The sequence below is a fragment of the Homo sapiens genome, chromosome 7 (genome assembly GCF_000001405.40).
Source record: "Homo sapiens chromosome 7, GRCh38.p14 Primary Assembly".
NCBI lineage: Eukaryota > Metazoa > Chordata > Mammalia > Primates > Hominidae > Homo > Homo sapiens.
This window is the reverse complement of record NC_000007.14, coordinates 7,217,929-7,238,188: the sequence shown is the minus strand read 5'-3', so window position 1 is coordinate 7,238,188 and position 20,260 is coordinate 7,217,929. Positions and strand designations below refer to the sequence as shown.

At 36.6% G+C, this 20,260-nt stretch overlaps 1 protein-coding gene across 16 annotated transcripts in view; it reads right to left on the bottom strand.

Moving 5' to 3' along the window:
• The window catches only part of C1GALT1 (core 1 synthase, glycoprotein-N-acetylgalactosamine 3-beta-galactosyltransferase 1), a 91,240-nt gene that overhangs the window by 10,428 nt on the left and 60,552 nt on the right, over positions 1 to 20,260 (bottom strand). For 14 of the 16 annotated variants that reach the window (XM_047420620.1, XM_047420623.1, XM_047420617.1 and 11 more), the window contains one exon: positions 3,650 to 3,886. In XM_047420620.1, coding sequence (XP_047276576.1) covers positions 3,650 to 3,869 — 220 coding nt within the window. In that variant the 5' untranslated portion in view covers positions 3,870 to 3,886. The other 2 variants (XM_047420624.1, XM_017012449.3) reach the window with 2 other exon arrangements.

The window sequence follows — 20,260 nt, the reverse complement described above, 5'->3', positions numbered from 1 at the left end:
CTGAAGAAAGCACTGTCCTAATTTCAAAGTCCCTATTTATCCCTCTATTAGTGATTTAGCCAAAGGAAAGCAAACTCATCCTAATGTGAACTGACACTCTGATTTATTGGTTTCATGTCAGTGTTATCTAGGACATCACTGGAGCTAGTAAGAGTTGACATTATAATCTAAATTCGTCTCAAACTGTAGTTTACTGATTAAAAGCAGCAGCATCACCTGGGAGCCTGTTAGAAATGCATAATCTTAGGCCCAGACCTACTGACTCAGAATCAGCATTTTAATAAGTTCTCCTGGTGCTTCATAGGCATGCTAAATGCTGCCTTAAATAGTCTCTGCTTGGCACTTCATAAAAGAAAGCAGCCAGTTTTTAATAGATTACTGACAGAAATTTCTCACTGCTCTGAACGAGTTTCTGAAGAGCAGGAAAGACATGCTGCTGAAGTGGCAGTTCATTTTTGAAGTTCACAATAATCCACTATTAAGAATTTCTACAAGTACCCTGAGGTGGTAAAAGGTCAAAGCACAGGAGTTGAGATTACTTTCTGATAGTCACATACCTCATTCCAAAATGTAAATCCACCAATCAAAAACAGAAGAGAACAATGGTAGACATGGGAATTCCAAGATGGTCTAGAGCAGTGCTCTTTAAACTACAGGTTTGCAAAGAAATAAGGAGCTTATACCAGAACAGAAAGCAACACATTACTTTGAAAAAGGCCTACTATCAGAACCAACCAATCAAAATGTCCACTTAACTAAGCAGTGAGCTTAAAACTGAAACTTAAAACTGTCCATTTAAGTAAGCAGTGAGCGTAAAACTGATTTACATCCTAGTGTAACCTCATTATCTTGTGCAGACAAACAGCTGACAAAGTGTCAGGCCAGGACCGCATTTTGAGTAGCACCGGTACAGAGGAAGAGCTCAATGATGAGATTCTAGATGAGTACTTCCCAAGCTATCTGTGGTGAAAGGCCAATTTTTATTTCTAAAAGAGGTCTACACTGTGTAAATAGGATAAAAATGAATTATAAGAAAAATAAAACTAAAATATAAAACAAGTCCTAAATTTTTATTTTTAGCTTCAGACAAAATTACTCCAATTACAATAAAAGTTTCTGCTTACTCCCAAATAAGCAGACATTCTTTAGTTATAGGACCAGAATGAGTCTATGAACTGACTTTCAGTAGCAATGTTCTGGGCAGTATCCTGACGAAGCATATGCTTAAAATTAAGGTCAAACAGCAAGTTACAGAAGCTTAGTCCTATGAGAAATTAACAATGGAGGCATATAATATACTAGTTAACCAACTGAGAGGGAATAATGGGAAAAGCTGGGTGGAACATAAAAATATTCTCATGTCCCAGCTGGGCACAGTGGCTCAGGCCTGTAATCCCAGCACTTTGGGAGGCTGAGGCGGGTAGATCACGAGGTCAGGAGTTCGAGACCAGCCTGGCCAACATGGTGAAACCCTGTCTCTACTAAAAAAGATACAAAAAATTAGCCAAGCGTAGTGGTGGGCGCCTGTAATCCCAGCTACTCGGGAGGCTAAGGCAGGAGAATTGCTTGAACCCGGGAGGCGGAGGTTGCAGTGAGCCGAGATCCCACCACTGCAGTCCAGCCTGGGTGACAGAGCGAGACTCCATCTCAAAAAAAATAAAAAATAAAAATTCTCATGTCCCTCTGAGTATCAAGATTCACAATCCAAAAGGACAACAGCAGACAAAATCACCCTACTTTCAGTCAGAAAGCATAGACATCTCATATCCTTGAGGAGCCCAATCTCTTGGCTATACAAATATACCAAACCTTGAATGGATAGAACAGTGAATGCAGGAATCCCCAATCTGTTTCATTCAGGTAAGACAGGTTTGTCCACCGCTGAACTTGATAAATAATTTTTCATTCACTAATTGCTTTGTACTGGGCATGGGCTGGCATAGGAGATGAAAAAAATGAGTAAGACACATTTCCTGCTGCAGAGGAATTCAGTCCATTCAGGGAGCCTGAGCCTGACACACAAACCAATAATTGCTAAATACTAAGAGATGTTATTATAGAGGTATGAACAAAGGATTCAATGTGCTGAAGGAAAATAGTGGCTAATAAATCCTACAGAGCAGTAGATAGGGACCTAGGTAGAACAAAGAGGAAGATTAAAAAATAAAGACATAATACAGAAAATAGGTTATAAGTTCACCAAAAGGAATGGTGAAGTTTGGTTGAGTGCAGGTACATGGGTATAGCTGAAGGCCTGAATCGGAAATGCACTGAGGACTGAGAGGAAAAGAGATGAAAAATGGTAAAGTAGCAGCACTGTTAGAATGTACTGACAAATCGAATTGGCTAGCATGTGAAGGCAAGCACCTACCATGATTTCTTAATTTCTGGCACAGACAGATGGTAATGAGCCATATAAAAGAAAGAATAGAGGAGGAAGAGCAACTTCTAGGAGTAGGAAGGAAAAGGAGACTCAATTTACACATGCTGAGTCTGAAGGGAGTAGACAAACTTTTAGCATACCCCACATTTTGTAGGCCACTGAGCTGGACAAGTATGTATCTAATACACATGCCTGCAGTGAGGCCTCGTACGGCTTACTATTAGTAGGGAACTCTGCCTCCAATTGATCACCTAAAGACATGTGGCTATGCTACAGAGCAAATACACAGTGACCAAACTGTTCTGTAGGAACACAGAGCACTTGCTCAGAGCTGAATTACTGTTACATAAACAATCACAAAACACGACATACTTTGTAATAGTATGTTTATGTTTGCTAGTTGATAAAATGGAACCAGGCTTTGAAATCTCACCATTCAACCTCTGCTTGAGAGGTGGTGAAGAAATAATTTACTACTGAGAAGAGAAGAGAAAAAACTGAATAGTGGACCCTCTGCATCCCAGAATTCCAATTGTTTTCAAGCTACTTATATTATTTTCTGTCAAACCGTATTTTGCATTGTGTTAATGTCACCTCACAATGTCTGGAACTGGGCTAAAGACAGTAAGAAATAGAAGGAAATTAAAATTATGCGGGTTAATGATGTCACACAGACAAACAGCTAAAGGACAGAAACTTGGAGAGAACCAACACTTAAGGGACACATAAATAACTCAACTGAGAAAATCTGGTTAGAGGTAGGAGGCTAGGAGAAAATGAAGTCTTTAGAACGCATCCTTGGTTTTTAACTTCCTTGTTCTTTGTGCCTCTTGAGGAAAAAAAAGATTAGTTCTATTAACTAATTATAAAAATATAAATCGAAACTTACATACACCTCAAGTTTCTCTAGGAAAACAAGACTTAAGCAAAAGCTATGACCAAAACAAGTAACAAAAACCAAAGACACACATATAACAAAACTGAACCTAGAAAAACATTTTCAGAAACAAATCAAATCTGAATAGTTATGCCCTTCCCCAAATCATGGGTTCTGAACTATTTCTACTTAAAAACGAATTCAAAATTAATATCTTATTCCCTAAATAAATCTGAGTTTTAGCAATTCCCTTCTCTTGAGGCAAACCAAGAATTATTTTTAATATCTGGAATATATAGCCCATTTTAATTAACAGATACAGACAGGAATATGACAAAATTTAGACTAAAATACTGCTTATGTTTACTGCTTAATAAAGTAAACCATACCTTTATGTTGGCTAGAATCTGCATTGAAGTTCATTTGTCCTTCTAGATGATTCTGTCCATTATCATCTGAATGCCTTGCATGAGGATCATTATGAAGAACATTAGGCTGGGTGTCAACCTTTTCTCCCAACAAAATACTAAATAGCTGAGAACATAAAAGAAATCCTATTGCTGATCCACAGAGGAAGGTTAAAAAATTCAGCCAGGATTTAGAGGCCATTTCCCGAAAGTGTATTTCTGTAAGAACAAAAATTAGCAGGATGTTATAAAATCAAAGCTGTATACATAACCGGAGTAAAAATTCTGGTAACATTTAGCTATAACGGAAAGTTAATTTCTAACAGTATTTAGCTATTATCTATGAGTTTACCCCTCTATTTGCTGCTAAAACAGCACATTATGGAAAATCCATAAAACCAGATTAATTAGTAGGACAGTCACAGTTGGGGTGGGGTATGGATGAGTATGTCAGTATTGCACACAGAATTTCCTATTCTTCCCACCAGGATCCTTTGTGGATCCAGGGCTTCCTGTCGTGTTGTTTTTCTTTCTTTGCTGTTAACTCTGAGTACGGAAGTCTACTTCTTTTTCTCTGGTAGCAACCACCACCCCTTCTCCAACCCAAAAGTTAGCAAACCCTTTCTGTAAAGAACTAGAAATAAAATATTTTTGGCTTTTTGGGTCTCATGTGGTTTCTGTTGCATCTTCTTCTTAAACAATCCTTTATAAACGTAAAAAAACACTTGTAGCTTGTGGAGGACTAGGGTCAGCACAGTTTGAGGACCCATGGACCAAACCTGGCCTGCTACCTGTTTTTGTAAATAGAGTTTTATTTGAACACACCCATGCCCATTCATTTATATACTGACTGCGGCTACTTTTGCCCTAAAACAGCAGAGTGAATAGCTACAATAGAGGCAATATGTCTCACAAAACCGTACCTAGCCCTTTATAGAAAAAGTTTGCTGGCTAGGCACAGTGGCTCATGCCTGTAATCCCAGCACTCTGGGAGGCCAAGGCGGGTGGATCACTTGAAGTCAGGAGCTTGAGACCAGCCTGGACAACATGGTAAAAAATTAGCTGGGCATGGTGGCATATGCCTGCAGTCACAGCTACTTGGGAAGAATAAGGTGAATACTTGGGAAGAATTGGTAAGAATAAGGTGGGAGAATCACTTGAACTCAGAAGGCGGAGGTTGCAGTGTGCCAAGACTGCACCACTCAACTCCAGCCTGGGCAAAAGAGTGAAACTATCTCAGAAAAAAAAAAGAAAAAGTTTGCTGACCTCTGCTCTATACTGCAAGATCTAGATTTTGGATGGAATCTATAATATTAACGAGATTAAGTAGGGTACCTGGGACACAGATGCCTGTTGAACTGCCCCACAACCAAACATTGACATAAACGCCCTTTTTAAGCTTTTGTTAACAATTACTATATGGTGAAGTTATAAACTTCTATTAAATTCCTTAAAAGATTGGTCTTAACTCTAGTTTCCTATTCCTCAAGATAATTAAAAAAATAAGTTTACTAAGCATTTATTATATACCAGAAGCTGTCCATACATTATTTCATTTTAAATAAAATTTAATTTCAATGTCCTTTTTCATTCTCACTAAACCCGTCTGCAGATGAGGAAAGAGAAATTTTAAAAAGGTAATTTTAAACAGGTAATTAATTCATATAGGCTGACACAATCAGAAGGAGCCACAGTTTGAATGTAGGTCTGTGTGCTTAAAAAGCCCATGCCCGGCTGGGCGTGGTGGCTCACGCCTGTAATCCTAGCACTTTGGGAGGCCAAGGCGGGTGGATCACCTGAGGTCAGGAGTTCAAGACCAGCCTGGCCAACATGGTGAAACCCCATCTCTACTAAAAATACAAAAATTAGCCAGGCGTTGTGGTACGTGCCTGTAATCCCAGCTACCTGGGAGACTGAGGCAAAAGAATCACTAGAACCTGGGAGGCAGGACTGCAGGACCGAGATCATGCCACTGTATTACAGCCTGGGTGACAGAGCAAGACTCTGTCTCAAAAAAAAAAAAACAAAAAAAAAAAACCCACGCCCTTTCCATTACATTTCTCAAACTCTTCACCTAATCACCACTAACAGCAGAGGGCAATGGGCAGTGAAAGTAGAGGTCTGGGAAATATAACCCTAAAAATCAAAATTGCTTTGAAATAGTTTGTGAAAGCAAAAGTACAAACCAACAATCACCACTACAATAATAAAAACAAAACAACTTCATGTATTTCTGGAATGGCTGACTAGGTTCTTTTAGTACAACCAAGTGCAATCAGAAAAACTGAACAAAATGTAAAAAAATATAAATATGTGTTTGAAGACACTGGTAAGATATCAAGGCAGTGAGAATTAGTAGGGCCAAAATCTGGAAGAAGGAAGGAAAGAGGCAGACCAGACATCTGGCACTGCTCTATCCTCAAGACAATGACTGATTCTGAAAGAGAAAACAGCAAGGGCAATAAAGCTAAGCAAAAATTAATGTCCAAAGTCTGCTTAGGAGAAGAGGTCCTGAAAAACACCTATGCTCTTATCAAGGACTCTGAAAGGCTACAATCTGAGAATAAGAACAAAACAAAAATAGACCAATCTTTACAACGGCTGAAGTCTACGTTAGAGTCATCTCAGCCACTGACTGGATGATCCGCCCTAGCCTAACTGTAAAAATATTCTCCTGGAGAAATATAAAATCATGAAGAACCTCAAATTATCATGACGACTTTTTTTTTTTTGGTATACAACATGGACAAAATTTTGATACACAATGTCCAAAACAACCAGGCATCAAGATGAAAATTACGGCTAAACACAAAAAAGTAGACAATAGAAACAGAGCCAAAAGACTCAAATAAGATTTTCATATTTTTAGCTTAGAAATAACTATTCTTAATAAAGTCAAGAAATTAAATGGCAAGATTAAGAAATTAGGCATAGAATAGTCACAGCTGAAGAAAAAAATTAATAACCTAAAAAGCTAGGTCAGAAGAAAATACGCAGAATGAAGTATGGAAAAACAAATGGATTGAAAAAGAATTGAGCAAAAAAACAGAATAAAGTGAAAGGGTCTAATGTAAGTGTTAACTGGAACCTTTGAGGGAAGAGACATAACTCAGGAGAAGTGGTATTTAAAGAAATAATGACTGAATATTTTCCGAAACTGACACAGTACCAACCCTCACATTAAAAATCTACAAAACCCAATGAAGATTACAAAGAAAAAGAAAATGTTACCTAAGTACATCAGTCAAACTACTGAAAACCAAGGACAGAAAAAAAAACTTCAAAGGTGTAATAAGATTGACAGCTGACTTTTTAGCAGCAACAACAGAATCAAGACTGCAGTGAACTATTTTTAAAGTGCTAAAAGAACAGAACTACCAACCTAGCATTCTGTATCCAGCAAAAATGTCCTTCAAGAATGAGCCTTAAAAACATGTTCAGAAAAACAAAACCTAAGTGAATTTATCACTAACAGTTCTATTTCTAATTCTTCAGGCAGAAGGAAAAGAATTTCAGATAAAAATTCAGAGATGTAGGAAGGAAGGGAGAGTCATAAAAAGGGTATGTATGTAAGTAAATCCAAATAAATATTGGCTATAATAAAACATTTTTTGAAAGTCTCACAAGATATTAGTATTATTACCATTAAAACAAATTACAAAACTGGCATCAAAAAGTATAAGGAGGATCCATAGAGTTTAAGAGCTCTAAAGTCATTTCACTGTCCAGGAGTTGTTTAAAAAAAAAAAACTGATTAATAATAGCCTTTAAAAGACCAAGGATGTCTAATATAATCTTTAAACAAACAAACAGTAAAACAATATAATTAAATTCAAATACAAAAAAATGAAATGGGAAAATACCCCAAATCAAGGCAATGTTAAAAAAAAAAAAAAAAAGGGAATATAGAATAGATGAGACAAATAGAAAATAAATAGTAAGGTGGTTGATTTAGAACCAAACATATCAATGATTATATTAAAAGCAAATAGACTAAAAACTACAATTAAAAAATAAAGATTGCCAGCCAGACTCGAGAAAAATAAACTCATCTACATGCAGCTTACAAGAGACACATATTAAATAGATTTATAAAGTTGAAAGCAAAATAATAGAAAAATATACCATACAAACAGTAATTAAAGGAAAGCTTATTGATACCACAAAAAAAACTAGTAGTTACATGGCTTGTTCTCTGTGACATTCATTAAGCTCTACATTTATGATTTTACATACTTTTCTGTATTAACATTTATTTCAGTAAAAAGTGTATACAAAAACCCATTCATGTGTCTTTATCCCATTAAGTACATACTTAATATATTCATATTTGATATAAAAATATCCCAAAATCTACAAGTAAAATTGACATGCCATGACAACACACCATGCTTATGCTGCATTATATATCTTATATTTCAGGCTCTCTCCTGAATTGTAATTCCAGTTTGGGAAGAAAAACCCTAAGAGGAAGAGGAGAGGTGAAGGAACAGCACAGTATAAGCAAAGCTGCCCAGTATCTTGAGATGTAAATTAACCATCTGAAACTATCAGATACATGTTTACACCTTTTGCTCTATCCTGACTGTACCTTCAAGTTCAGAAAGGTAGGCCTTCATGGATGATGAGTACATAGCCCCACTCAACGATCCTTCTCTCTACACCCAATCAAATTTGCCACAGGAAAACCAGAAACAAGTTTACCATGTCTTTCTGCTGTTTTCTCTGATGAGGGGGTCTCAAATTCTGCCTCCCTACTGCCCCCTTTCCCTCATTCAGGTTGGCCGTTAGTGTAATCTTTATATCCAAAAGATACAATAAAACATATCCCTCCTGTCTTAAGTGATTGTTCTGAAATTCTAAATATCTCGATTGTCTGAGGACCAGTTCATTAGACCTTGCTCTAACCAGAAATCTTGGTTTGAAATTTCATTCAAACAGCCAGAGAGAACTGATTAGTCAAGTATCTGTTCGATATTATACAAGTCCTTCCTTTAGCAGTATACATGATCAAGACAATCTACAATAGAGGTATGTGATATGAAAGTACCATGAATTGAAAACATGAAGCCAAGAGAAGTAAATGAAAGATGTTTTAACTCTTAATTTCTTATGGAGGAAGACAAGCAGAATACGATTGAAGCAGTGAACCTGGAGCATTAGCAGATACTGAGTTGTCACTCTCTACATCCTCTGATTCTCTCACTAACACTTTGCCTTACAGCACACTGATCTTGGTTTTCCATTGCTTTTTGTCCTAGCTGTGATTTTGCCTTAATACCATACACAGCCACTTCACCATCTCAGAAAAGAACAAAGACAGTATTTTACTGCTGCAGAGTCTACCGCTCCTGGCACTGGAGAAGAAAGCAGTAGTCACAATGCCATTCAGTACCACTTAGGCAGAAAGCACTGTGACTGAGAAGAGGAAGGACTGCAGGACCAGAGAAAATTCCTATTTCTATCATCATATGGATATCTGAAGTTAAAGAAGTGCTAACCCAGCTCCATCAACTATGAATACTAACATGCTACTCAATCATATTCCAAGGACATGCTGAGCTTCAGAACAAGCCTACTTCTATAACACAAAAACAGTTACTGTTTGTGGAAAGCTACTGAAGTACTTATGGACACAGTTTTTCTTAGCTGAAGAGGCACTTTTTAAGCAAGGCATCTATCCTGGAGTGAATGTAAGGAAAACTGACTTCTTGGTGTTACGTAATTGTTTTTAACTTTAAAATGTTTTGTGATGCTGTCTGATGCCTGTCATACTCTCTTACTCTTCTCCCCCAGAGTATCAGCACACTCAGAATGTGTTGGCTCCTCTTGTGTTGTGTTTACCACATTCCCTTCCAATTTAAAGGACTCCGGCCTTATGACTAAATAACTGTAAACTCCCATTTTTTTTTTTCCTGCTCCTGGGATAAAATAGCCATCTCATGGGGGTAGAATGCATCCCAAAGCTCACTCAGATTTTTGGCAAAAATCATGTCCACAAGAGTGTTGAGGTAGACTAGACTGGAAAAAGACACAGCTTAACCACACTGCACATTATGAGGGCTTAAATACTATTTCTTTGAATTGGGTGGGGGAAGTTCTTTATGCCAAGTGCTTCCAAACCTGATGTGTAATCAGAATCGCTTGAGGATATTTTAAAAGTACAGATTTCCAAGCTTGACAACTGAGGTTTCAGATACAAAAGAACTCCCGGGACAACTAAAATTTATATTTTAATTTTATTTTTAAAGGGACAGCTTTATGCTATTCATTGTTAAAAAAGGATTTAGAAGGAAGAAATCATCACAAGTCCTACTACCCAGAAACAACAATTATTAATATTTTGTGATTATCATTACAGGTTTCTCTCTAGCAATAACAAAAATAGGAGAGGTAATTACAGTTAACATTTGAACCCTGTACTAAGAGCATCTGCAAACTATAAAGTACGGACTAGTATTCCCATTTACAGATGAATTCAGACACAGAGAGTCACACTAGCAATCTGAATCAGGAATTCAGACTCTTAACCACTTTGCTATTATGTCTTAGTCCATTTTCTGGTATTTATAACAGAACAACTGAAACTGGGTAATTTATAAAGAGAAAGCATTTATTTCTTACAGTTACGGAGGCTAGAAAGTCCAAGGCCAAAGGGGGCACATCTGGTAAGAGCCTTCTTGCTGTTGAGGACTCTCCTCTGAAGAGTCTTGAGGTGGCACAGAGCATCACATGGCATGAGGGATACGCATGCTAACGTGTTAGCTTAGGTTTGTTCCTCTTCCCTTTTTTTTTTTTTTTTGAGACGGAGTCTCGCTCTGTTGCCCAGGCTGGAGTGCAGTGGCGGGATCTCGGCTCACTGCAAGCTCCGCCTCCCGGGTTCACGCCATTCTCCTGCCTCAGCCTCCCAAGTAGCTGGGACTACAGGCGCCCGCCACTACGCCCGGCTAATTTTTTGTGTTTTTAGTAGAGACGGGGTTTCACCGTTTTAGCCGGGATGGTCTCGATCTCCCGACCTCGTGATCCGCCCGCCTCGGCCTCCCAAAGTGCTGGGATTACAGGCGTGAGCCACCGCGCCCGGCCTTCCCTTTCTTTATAAAGCCAAAACAGTTCCCTTCCCATGATAACCCATTAAGTTATTAACCCATTAATGGATTAAACCATTCATGAGGGCAGAGGTCTGTCTCATAAACCAATCACTTCCTTAAAGGCCTTGTTAATATTGCCAAACTGGGAATTAAATTTCAACATGAGTTTTAGAGGGGACAAATATTCAAACCATAACCCTACAGTTTTACAGAATGGGAATTATATTAGTCATCTCGTTTTTAAAGAATTAACATATTAGATTTATTTGAATTTATAGGAAATAAAGGAATCTAAAAAATCTGAATGTCACCTAGACATCTGTAATATGACCCCCATCCTCTAAAGGATCCCTCTAAAAATTAAGAAAAGTTTACAAAAAAACAGAAAGGAGTTGGAGGGCTCATTAAATAAGCTCAATTTTAGGCACTATCTATTGATTTCTTGCTGTGAAATGTGGAAATCAGCATGGATACACACATGTACAAATATATATATACACATATACATACACACACACTCCCTCTGCCACAACCAATTTTTGTTAACTGCTTTTATTTGGTAAAAATGTACATAGTTTACATTATATGAATTATGAACTGTAATTCCATGACTGCTTAATCCTGGATCTACATTAAACTAGATTCCATGCTCAACAAGAGTCCTTTTTAATCACAACTCCTCTAAATTTGAGTTTTTCATTAATATCATGTTTTTGTTAGCTGGGTTTCAGCAAGCAGTTTTTTTTAATGGCGCTAATCGGTGCCACATCTGAAATTCTTGCAGGCTTCAGAATGTCTGCTATTGCACAAACTTTCTTCTCCCTAAGAACTTTGTAAATATTACTCCATGGTCTTCTTACATGGGTGCCAGAGAATTCTGAGGATACAGCCTTTAACCTCTTCTCTTATGCTTGGTTTTCAGCCACTCCACCAGTTCAAGAATATTCTTTCACCAAGATTTTAATGCCCTTTACCATGAGCGCACGTCTTCTTCCTTTCAGGCTTTCGGGAAGTCAGTGAGTGTAATTCACAATAAAGCCCTGAAATTCTAGTTATTTTTTTTTTTAAATTTTAACACTTTATACCACATTTTGCCAAGGTGACAATCAGGTACTTCTAATTTTGCTCTGGATTATGGCATTCATTTGCTGCATTTATGTATTCAAAATATATTCCCTCTTCTAACCATATTAAAATAATTTTTGATACATCTTTATATTTTCCCAAAAGATTTTCCTTATGAAAGTGATATAAATCTTACAGTCACACACCTTACATTTACAAATATAGTACATGTGAGGTACCATGTTAGAAATTTTTATGTTTTTTTCTGATGCTCACAGCAACCTGAAAACTCGATAGCAGTATCCCTTTCATATTACAGATGAAGAAACTGAGTATGAGACAGGTTAATTAAATGGACCCAAACCAGCCAGCCAACATGGTAAATTGGAATTTTCACCCCCATTTCATTTAAAGTTCACTAGTTTTTCCACACACCACTCTCGCACCTATAGCTGTCTATTAACTTTCCATATCCTTTCCCTTTCTCTCTAAAATTATCTTTAAATGGAATACTTAAAAGGTTATGTCATCAGTAGGTCCAACAAGAAACCGCTTTTGCTCTATTTATAAATCTTGAGGTGCAAATAAGATATTGAAAAGTCCACGGGCTCTAAGAATGGACTGGGAGGATGTTAATGTTTGCTGAGAGATTGGAACTGGTTTCAGACTAAATATTCATGCCTCTGCTCTTTAATTTTGCCATTAAAAAACTCAAATGTTTCTCTATATAAATTCTTAAACACAAAAAACACACTGCTAAAGACTTAACCCATACAGTGTTTTCCATATGCTTTTCAACAAACAAAAATAAATTTATTAAGTAGAATTTTACTTGCAATAAACCCTCTATAGTTTTCTTCTAATTTTAGGGAATATTTGTATTGTGTTTCTTCCAGTTCCTGGTTATAAGCAGATGTAAGCTGCCAAGCTGAGATCTAAGTTTTAAAGCTCAAAAATTATTTTCAAATACACAGCACTATGCTATATACTGGGAAAAGCAAAAAGCAAGTACCTTTCCCTGCTTTCCTGGAGTTTAGTTTTGCTAATGACACAGGGAAGTAAAAATAGCAAAGAAACAGTTTGGAAACAATAGAGCGGCACAGCAAAAGCAGTGCTAAGAGGAAAACTTATAGCACTAACTGTTTACATTAAAAAAGAGAGAAATAAATTGATTATTTAAGCTTCTACCTCAAGACTCAACAAAAAGAGCACAATAAACCCAAAGCAAGAAGGAATAAAATAATAAAGAGCAGAAATTAATAAAATTTAAAACAGGCATTATTTTAAGTGAACTAACACAGGACAGAAAACCTTATTAGTTCTCACTTGTAACTAAACACAGAGGACATATGGACACAAAGAAGGGAATAACAGACACCAGAAACTACCTAAGACTGGAGGGAGGGAAGAGGGTGAGGACTGAAAAACTATCTATTGGTTAAATACACTATGCTTAATACACTTAAATACGCTTAATACACTTAAATACACTTAATACACTTAAATACACTATGCTTAAATACACCAAACCCCCATGACACACAATTCACCTCTGTAACAAACCTGTATATGTACCCCTGAACCTAAAATGTAAAAAAAAGAGCTGGTTCTTTGATAAGATTAATAAAATGGACAGCCTCTAAAGATTGAGACACAAACTACCAATAGCAGGAATAATACAGGGGTTATTTCTATTGACCCTGCAGATACCAAAGGATAATAAGGGAATACTACAAACAACTCTACACGTATAAATTTGACAAGTTAGATGAAATGGACCAATTCCTTGAAAAGCATAAACCATCACAATTCACTCAATATGAAATAGATTATTTGAACAGCCATATAATTATTTATAGAAACTGAACTCACAATTTTAAAACTCCCCTCACCCCCCGCCCCTGACCCCCACAAAAATCTCCAGGTCCAGATGGTTTTACTGGAGAATTCTAACAGATGTTCTAAAAATTATTTTTTAATGTTTTAACATCAATTTGTACAATCTCCTCCAAAAAGTAGGAGAGAACACTTCCCAATTCATTTTATCAAGTTCATATTACCCTGATACCAAAATCCAACAAAGACAGTACAAAAAAAAAACCAAAAAAAACTACAGACTACTACCCTTCTCAGAAATACAGAAACAAAAATACTTAAAAGTATGAATTAGCATGTTAAGTACTAATACTTAATGAAGTATTAGTATTTCACAAAGTATTAGTAAATAGAATTCAGCATTATGTAAAAAGAATTATGACCAAGTAGAGTTTATTCTGAGTATGTAAGGATGGTTCAACATTTAAAAATCAACACGATTCATCCTATTAACCAACTAAAAAGGAAAATTCACACAAATGAAAAGATGCAGAAAAAATACTTGACAAAATCCAATATTCAGGACAAATAACTCTCAGAAAAACAAAAACAGAAGGAATTTCCTTAACTTGATAAAGAACAAGTATCAAAAACTAACAGCTAATGGTACACTTAATGGTAAAAGACTGAATGTTTTCACGTTAAGATCATGAACAAGGAAAGGATGTCCACTCTCATCACTCTTACTCAATATAGTACTGGAAATTCTAGCCAGTATAATAAAGGAGAAAAATAAAAAAGAGAATGAAAAGGCATATAGATTGTAATGGAAAAAATGAAACCATCCCTATTTGCAGATTTGTAGATAATGTGACTGTGAAGGAAATCTCAAGGATTTTGTGAAAAGAAAAATGCTACAAAGAGTAAATTCAGCAAGGTCACAGGATATAAGATACACATGCCAAAATAATAAAAAACAAACAAAAACAAAAACGAAACCCATAAAACTCACAAATGGAGAAATCATACAATGAAAGGCTTGGCAAAAGACATGCAATCTCTTCCCATATAAAACTAAAGAACCTGTGTGTGGCCAGGCACTGTGGTTCACACCTGTAATCCTAGCACTTTCGGAGGCTGAGGTGGGAGAATCTCTTGAGGTCAGGAGTTCCAAACCAGACTGGCCAACATGGAGAAACCCCATCTCTACTAAAAATATTTTTAAAAATTAGCTGGGCTTGATGGCAGGTGCCTGTGATCCCAGCTACTGGGGAGGTTGAAGCAGGAGAATTGCTTGAACCTGGGAGGCAGAGGTTGCAGTGAGCCAAGATCGCGCCACTGTACTCCAGCCTGGGTGACAGAGCAAGACTCCATCTCCAAAAAAAGAAAAACCTGTCTGTGATAATTATGCAACAAAGCAGAAATGTTATTATCCCAGAAAGAAAAACTCCATAAAATAAAATGATATTAATTTATGTTATGGTTAGGCAAAAATGGCATTATGGTGCCAACTGAAATGGAGAGGGGGATAGGAGAGAATGTGCTTGTAAGAAGTATGTGTTCTAATTTCATCACGTAAGTAACTCAGTTGACTTTTTTTTAAAAAAAGCTTAACTACAAAAATCTTCACACAAGCATAAAACCAAAAAAAAACTCACATACCTGTCATACAGATTGAATTATAATACAAAATTTGGCATATTTACTTTATTCTTTCTTCAAATGATTATAGTATTTTAATGCAAATCTTAGACATAAAGTCATCTCATTTCTACATACTTCTGTATACCTGTCCGAAAATATCAACATTTTCTTAAAAACTATAACGCCATTACTAAATGCCTAACAAAATAGCAATAATTATTTGGAATCATCTAACCCACAGTCTGTAATCAAATTTCCACAACTGTCTTCTGTAATCAAACTGTCTCAATTAGCACAAAAATGTCTTTTCGCAGTTGGTTTGTTCAAATCAGAATTCAAATAGTATTCATGTTCACAGAAAAAATGAAAAAATAACACTTTGTATAATAGCTATTAAACATAAAAACCTCAATGAAACACACATTTCTATTTAAAAGAAAGCTAATTATCAAATCTGACTCAAGATACACAACCTAATAGACAACCATAGAAAAAATAAAATGTTGTCAAAGAGCCAGACTTCAAAAAGGTCCAGACTTTCCTGGACGAAGTCTCTCAATCTTTAAAAAAATAATTTTTGGACTACATAAATCATTCCAGAAAATTAAGGAGCAGAAATTAACCAATTATTCTTTAATATAAAAGTTTGATGACATTATCTGACAAACAGAACCCAAAGAACAGCATAGAAAACTTCAGTCTGATTTCACTCCAATTAAAGAGAATGCTGAGCAATTAGTAGTAGTTATCGTTAAGTTGGGTCTTTTGGCAGTAAGCTCTAAGATGAGGTGCTTGTGTCAAAGTGATTTATTAGAAAGTATTCTATGGAAAACCTTGTAGGGAAACAGGACAGGAAGGGAAGGAAGCTAAGCAAGGGTAAGACACCAAGGAAGGTCCCATAGAGGGTAATTTTAGCTCAGTCCCTCAGGGTAGTTCTGGTGTTAACGTAGGTCACACCTCAGAGTTTACTCATATCATTAGTCATTGGTTAAGGGCTGTCTTCAGGAAGCAAATTTTCCAGACACTTCCACGGCATGTACATTGGCAAAACAGGCTCTGGCATGGTGAGGGTGGCCTTGCAACAAGCCTTAGGAGCTAGATGTTGAGAATCAACAGACACTAGGAGTCTGACAGCAGGAAGGAAACACAGGCCTATGGAGAGAGCACTGGCATCATCTGCTACAGTTTAAGTTTTGGATACAGAAAGTTAAAAACCACTTTGTTTGGATTTGCATTATGGAATTCCTAAGAGGTTGAGCAATATATCACTCCAGTGGGATCATCCTACAGTTAAAAACCACTGGTGATTAGTCCCAACAACTTGTACAGACATTTCAATTCGCTTTTTATTAGCTAGTCTAAATTACCAACACCAGTTATCAATCACCAGACATTTTAAGGAATGGCTCTGATAAGAAAGAAAAAGACAAACAGTCACATTTAAATGAATTTGGTAGAGATTATGCAATGAGATGAAAACTTAAAAACAAACAACATACCACCATTAATATCTTGAGAGAGAAAAGATACCATGCCATTGCATTCATGAAGAACAAGGTATCAGTTTTTAAAAATCAGAAGACAAAAGACTCCTAAAAATTAAAATGTAAGAAAATTGAAAACCTCAAATAGAACAGCTGTAAATCAGATAAAGAAATCTCCCTGAAAGTAAGCAAAGTTAAAAGACAAGAAAGACGAGGTGATGGAAAATAAGAAAAAAAACTGTGAAAACTAAAGATCACTTTAGAGGTCCAGATAAAAGAGAAGAGGAAATCATTAACTCAATATTTCAAAGACATTTTCATTTTCACACTGAAAGGATCCAATGATACCCAGCACAGTAAATAAAAACAGACCCATAAAGACATATCATGAAACCTCAGGACGCGTGGGTCAAAGCCATCCTGCAAACTTTCAGAGAGAGGAACAAAAGGTCACATACAAGAGACCAGAAAGTAAGTGGTTCTGGACTTGCACAACATTGAAAGCTAAAAAGCAGTGGAGAAAATCCTTTGAAATTCTGAGGAAAAATAATTTTCAACCTAGAATTTTATACTCAAACTATGCAACAAGTGTGAGGGAAGAATAAAGATACTTTTGGGCTGGGCGCACCTGTAATCCCAGCACTTTGGGAGGCCGAGGCCAGCAGATCACAAGGTCAAGAGATCAAGACCATCCTGGCCAACATGGTGAAACCCCATCTCTACTAAAAATACAAAAATCAGCTGGGCGTGGTGGCACATGCCTGTAGTCCCAGCTATTTGGGAGGCTGAGGCAGAAGAATCTCTTGAACCCAGGAGGTGGAGCTTGGTTGCAGTGAGCCGAGATCACACCACTGCACTCCAGCCTGGCGACAGAGTGAGACTCCGTCTCAAAAAAAAAAGAATAAAGATACTTTAAAGACATGACAGATTTTGTTTAGATCAATGCTCAGCATATACCATATTTTAAAGCACCAGTAGGACACTGATGTAGAAATGTTGAGCAAGCTGTTGGAGATACAGGTCTGGGGACTGGGAGAAGTTTCAGAATTGGTCACCTGTATATTTGAATTACAAATTAAAAAGAACACTCAACTCTAAAATATAATATAGCAAATAAAAATAGCTAACACTGAGTAATTATTCATTGAAAAGGATATTCTTCTAAGTGCTTTAAATTAATTTACCATAACTTTCCACAACCCTATGCTGGCTAACAGAGTTGTGTAAATTCCTATTAATTTTAATTGCTTGCTATATGGCCTGCTACTACAAAAAACTCAAAAGACAAGATTCTCTTTAGCACATTCCCCTCTTTTTACTCAGCCACTCAACTCTTAATCTAAGAAAATCTTAATAAAAAATAAAAAGCATTCATGAGCAGTGCCTGTACATAATAAGCTTCCAAGGATGTGCTAAATGAAAAAGATTTAATATCCCAAATCAGAATCAATACAAGGTAAAATTATGTAAATTAAGATATACCCACTAAGTAGATTATACAACTGCTAAATTGTTGAAGATTACATTTTATTATGAAAACATATTAGAACATAAGTGAACACAAATATTTTATATACAACAATTTCATATACAATTCCACACAAAATTTTATAGACAATGTTATTACAATTATGTGCTTAAAAAAAGTGATACTAAAAAAAGACTAGAAGAAAATAAACCAAAATACTTAAAATGCTTCTAATATTTCAATTGGATAAGGGCCAACTAACATTATTTTTCTAAATTGAGTTTAATGAATATATATTTCTTGAGCAGCTCTCAAAAAGTAATCTTAGGATCCCTTTAAACTCTTAATTAGTGAGAATCTCCAAATAGTTTTTATTTATGTAGGTTTTATCTATTGATTAGATTTTTATTAGAAATTAAAACTGAAAAATTTTTAAGGCTTTATTTTTTTCAGAGTAGTTTTAGATTCACAACAAAACTGAGAGGAAGGAGAACAGAGATTTCCCAATACTCTCTGCCCCAACATATGCCTAGCTTCCTGTTATCAACATTCCTCACCAGAGGGTACATTTGTTTCAACTGATAAACCTACACTGACACATCATTATCATTCAAAGTCTACAGTTTACATTATGGTTCACTTTTGGTGTTGTACATTCTATGGGTTTGGACAAATGTACAATGATACATATCTGTCATTATAGTATCATAGAATATTTTCATTCCCCTAAAAGCCTATGTATAAACTATTCAAAACAGTAATGTTAAACCTTCTACCTGTTAACACAAATCATGTATTTTATGAAAAATAACTATTTCCATGCCAGGCGCAGTGGCTCACGCCTGTAATCCCAGCACTTTGGGAGGCCGAGGCGGGCGGATCACGAAGGTCAGGAGATCGAGACCATCCTGGCTAACATGGTGAAACCCTGTCTCTGCTAAAAAAAAATACAAAAAATTAGCCGGGTGTGGTGGCGGGCGCCTGTAGTCCCAGCTACTCAGGAGGCTGAGGCAGGAGAATGGCGTGAACTGCGGAGGCGGAGCTTGCAGTGAGCCGAGATTGCACCACCGCACTCCAGCCTGGGCGACAGAGCAAGACTCCATCTCAAAAAAAAAAAAAAATAGAAACACGGTTTGAGATGTATACCAATTTGATTTTAAACCCAATTACAAGGTTTTCTGTAATCTTTGGAAGGTGCTACCAAATGGACCTTTCCAAATGTTAAATATTGTACTAGGAGCCAAAGATATAGTCACTAGCACATCTTCTACTGTTTCAGTGTAAACTCTCAGAAGGCAAAATAAGGCAAAACAGAATATCTTACCTCTCAGAGTTGCTATGATTCTTTTTATGAGGCACTAGTGCAATACACAAGAACTAGCTTGTAATGAGGGGGCAAAGCAGCTCACCTTATTCATCCCCCACCCCCAAATCTAATATCTCTACGTTGCTCCATTTTAACCACTCTGATGACACTTTTCTCCTTCCATTATTTGTTCATTTTTCGTTGGGCCAATAAATTTTACTACTATCTGCAAACAACCCCATAGAGACTTCACCTAACAGTCCTGTCTTAAAAATATAATACTTTTCAATGCCACAAAATTAAATCCAACTGCTTAACTTGGTACACAGGGTCTAGCTCTAGTTCACCTTTCTGTCATTTTATTTCTGACATTCCCCATCCCTAAGCCTACACTGAGCCTTTCTCCAAGACTTCCATGGCCTTTTATACAGATGACTGACCATTTTAATCTTTATGACTGGAGTGCCTGGCCTGATTTTGTCTACTCCACAGACCTGTAACTAACTTTTAAAGGTTATCTTAGTTTCAGCACTTTCCACTGCTCCCCTTTCCTAACTCCCACGGCCAAACTATAATACTATCCCATCAAATTTTTCCTTATTCCTTCATTTACACCTTTACTATATACTCATCAGTAAAGCTCCCCGCAAATGGCAGCTATGGGCTCATGTGTCTTTCTCTCACCAGTATCTAACATACCGCTCAGCTTGCAAGAGCCATCTA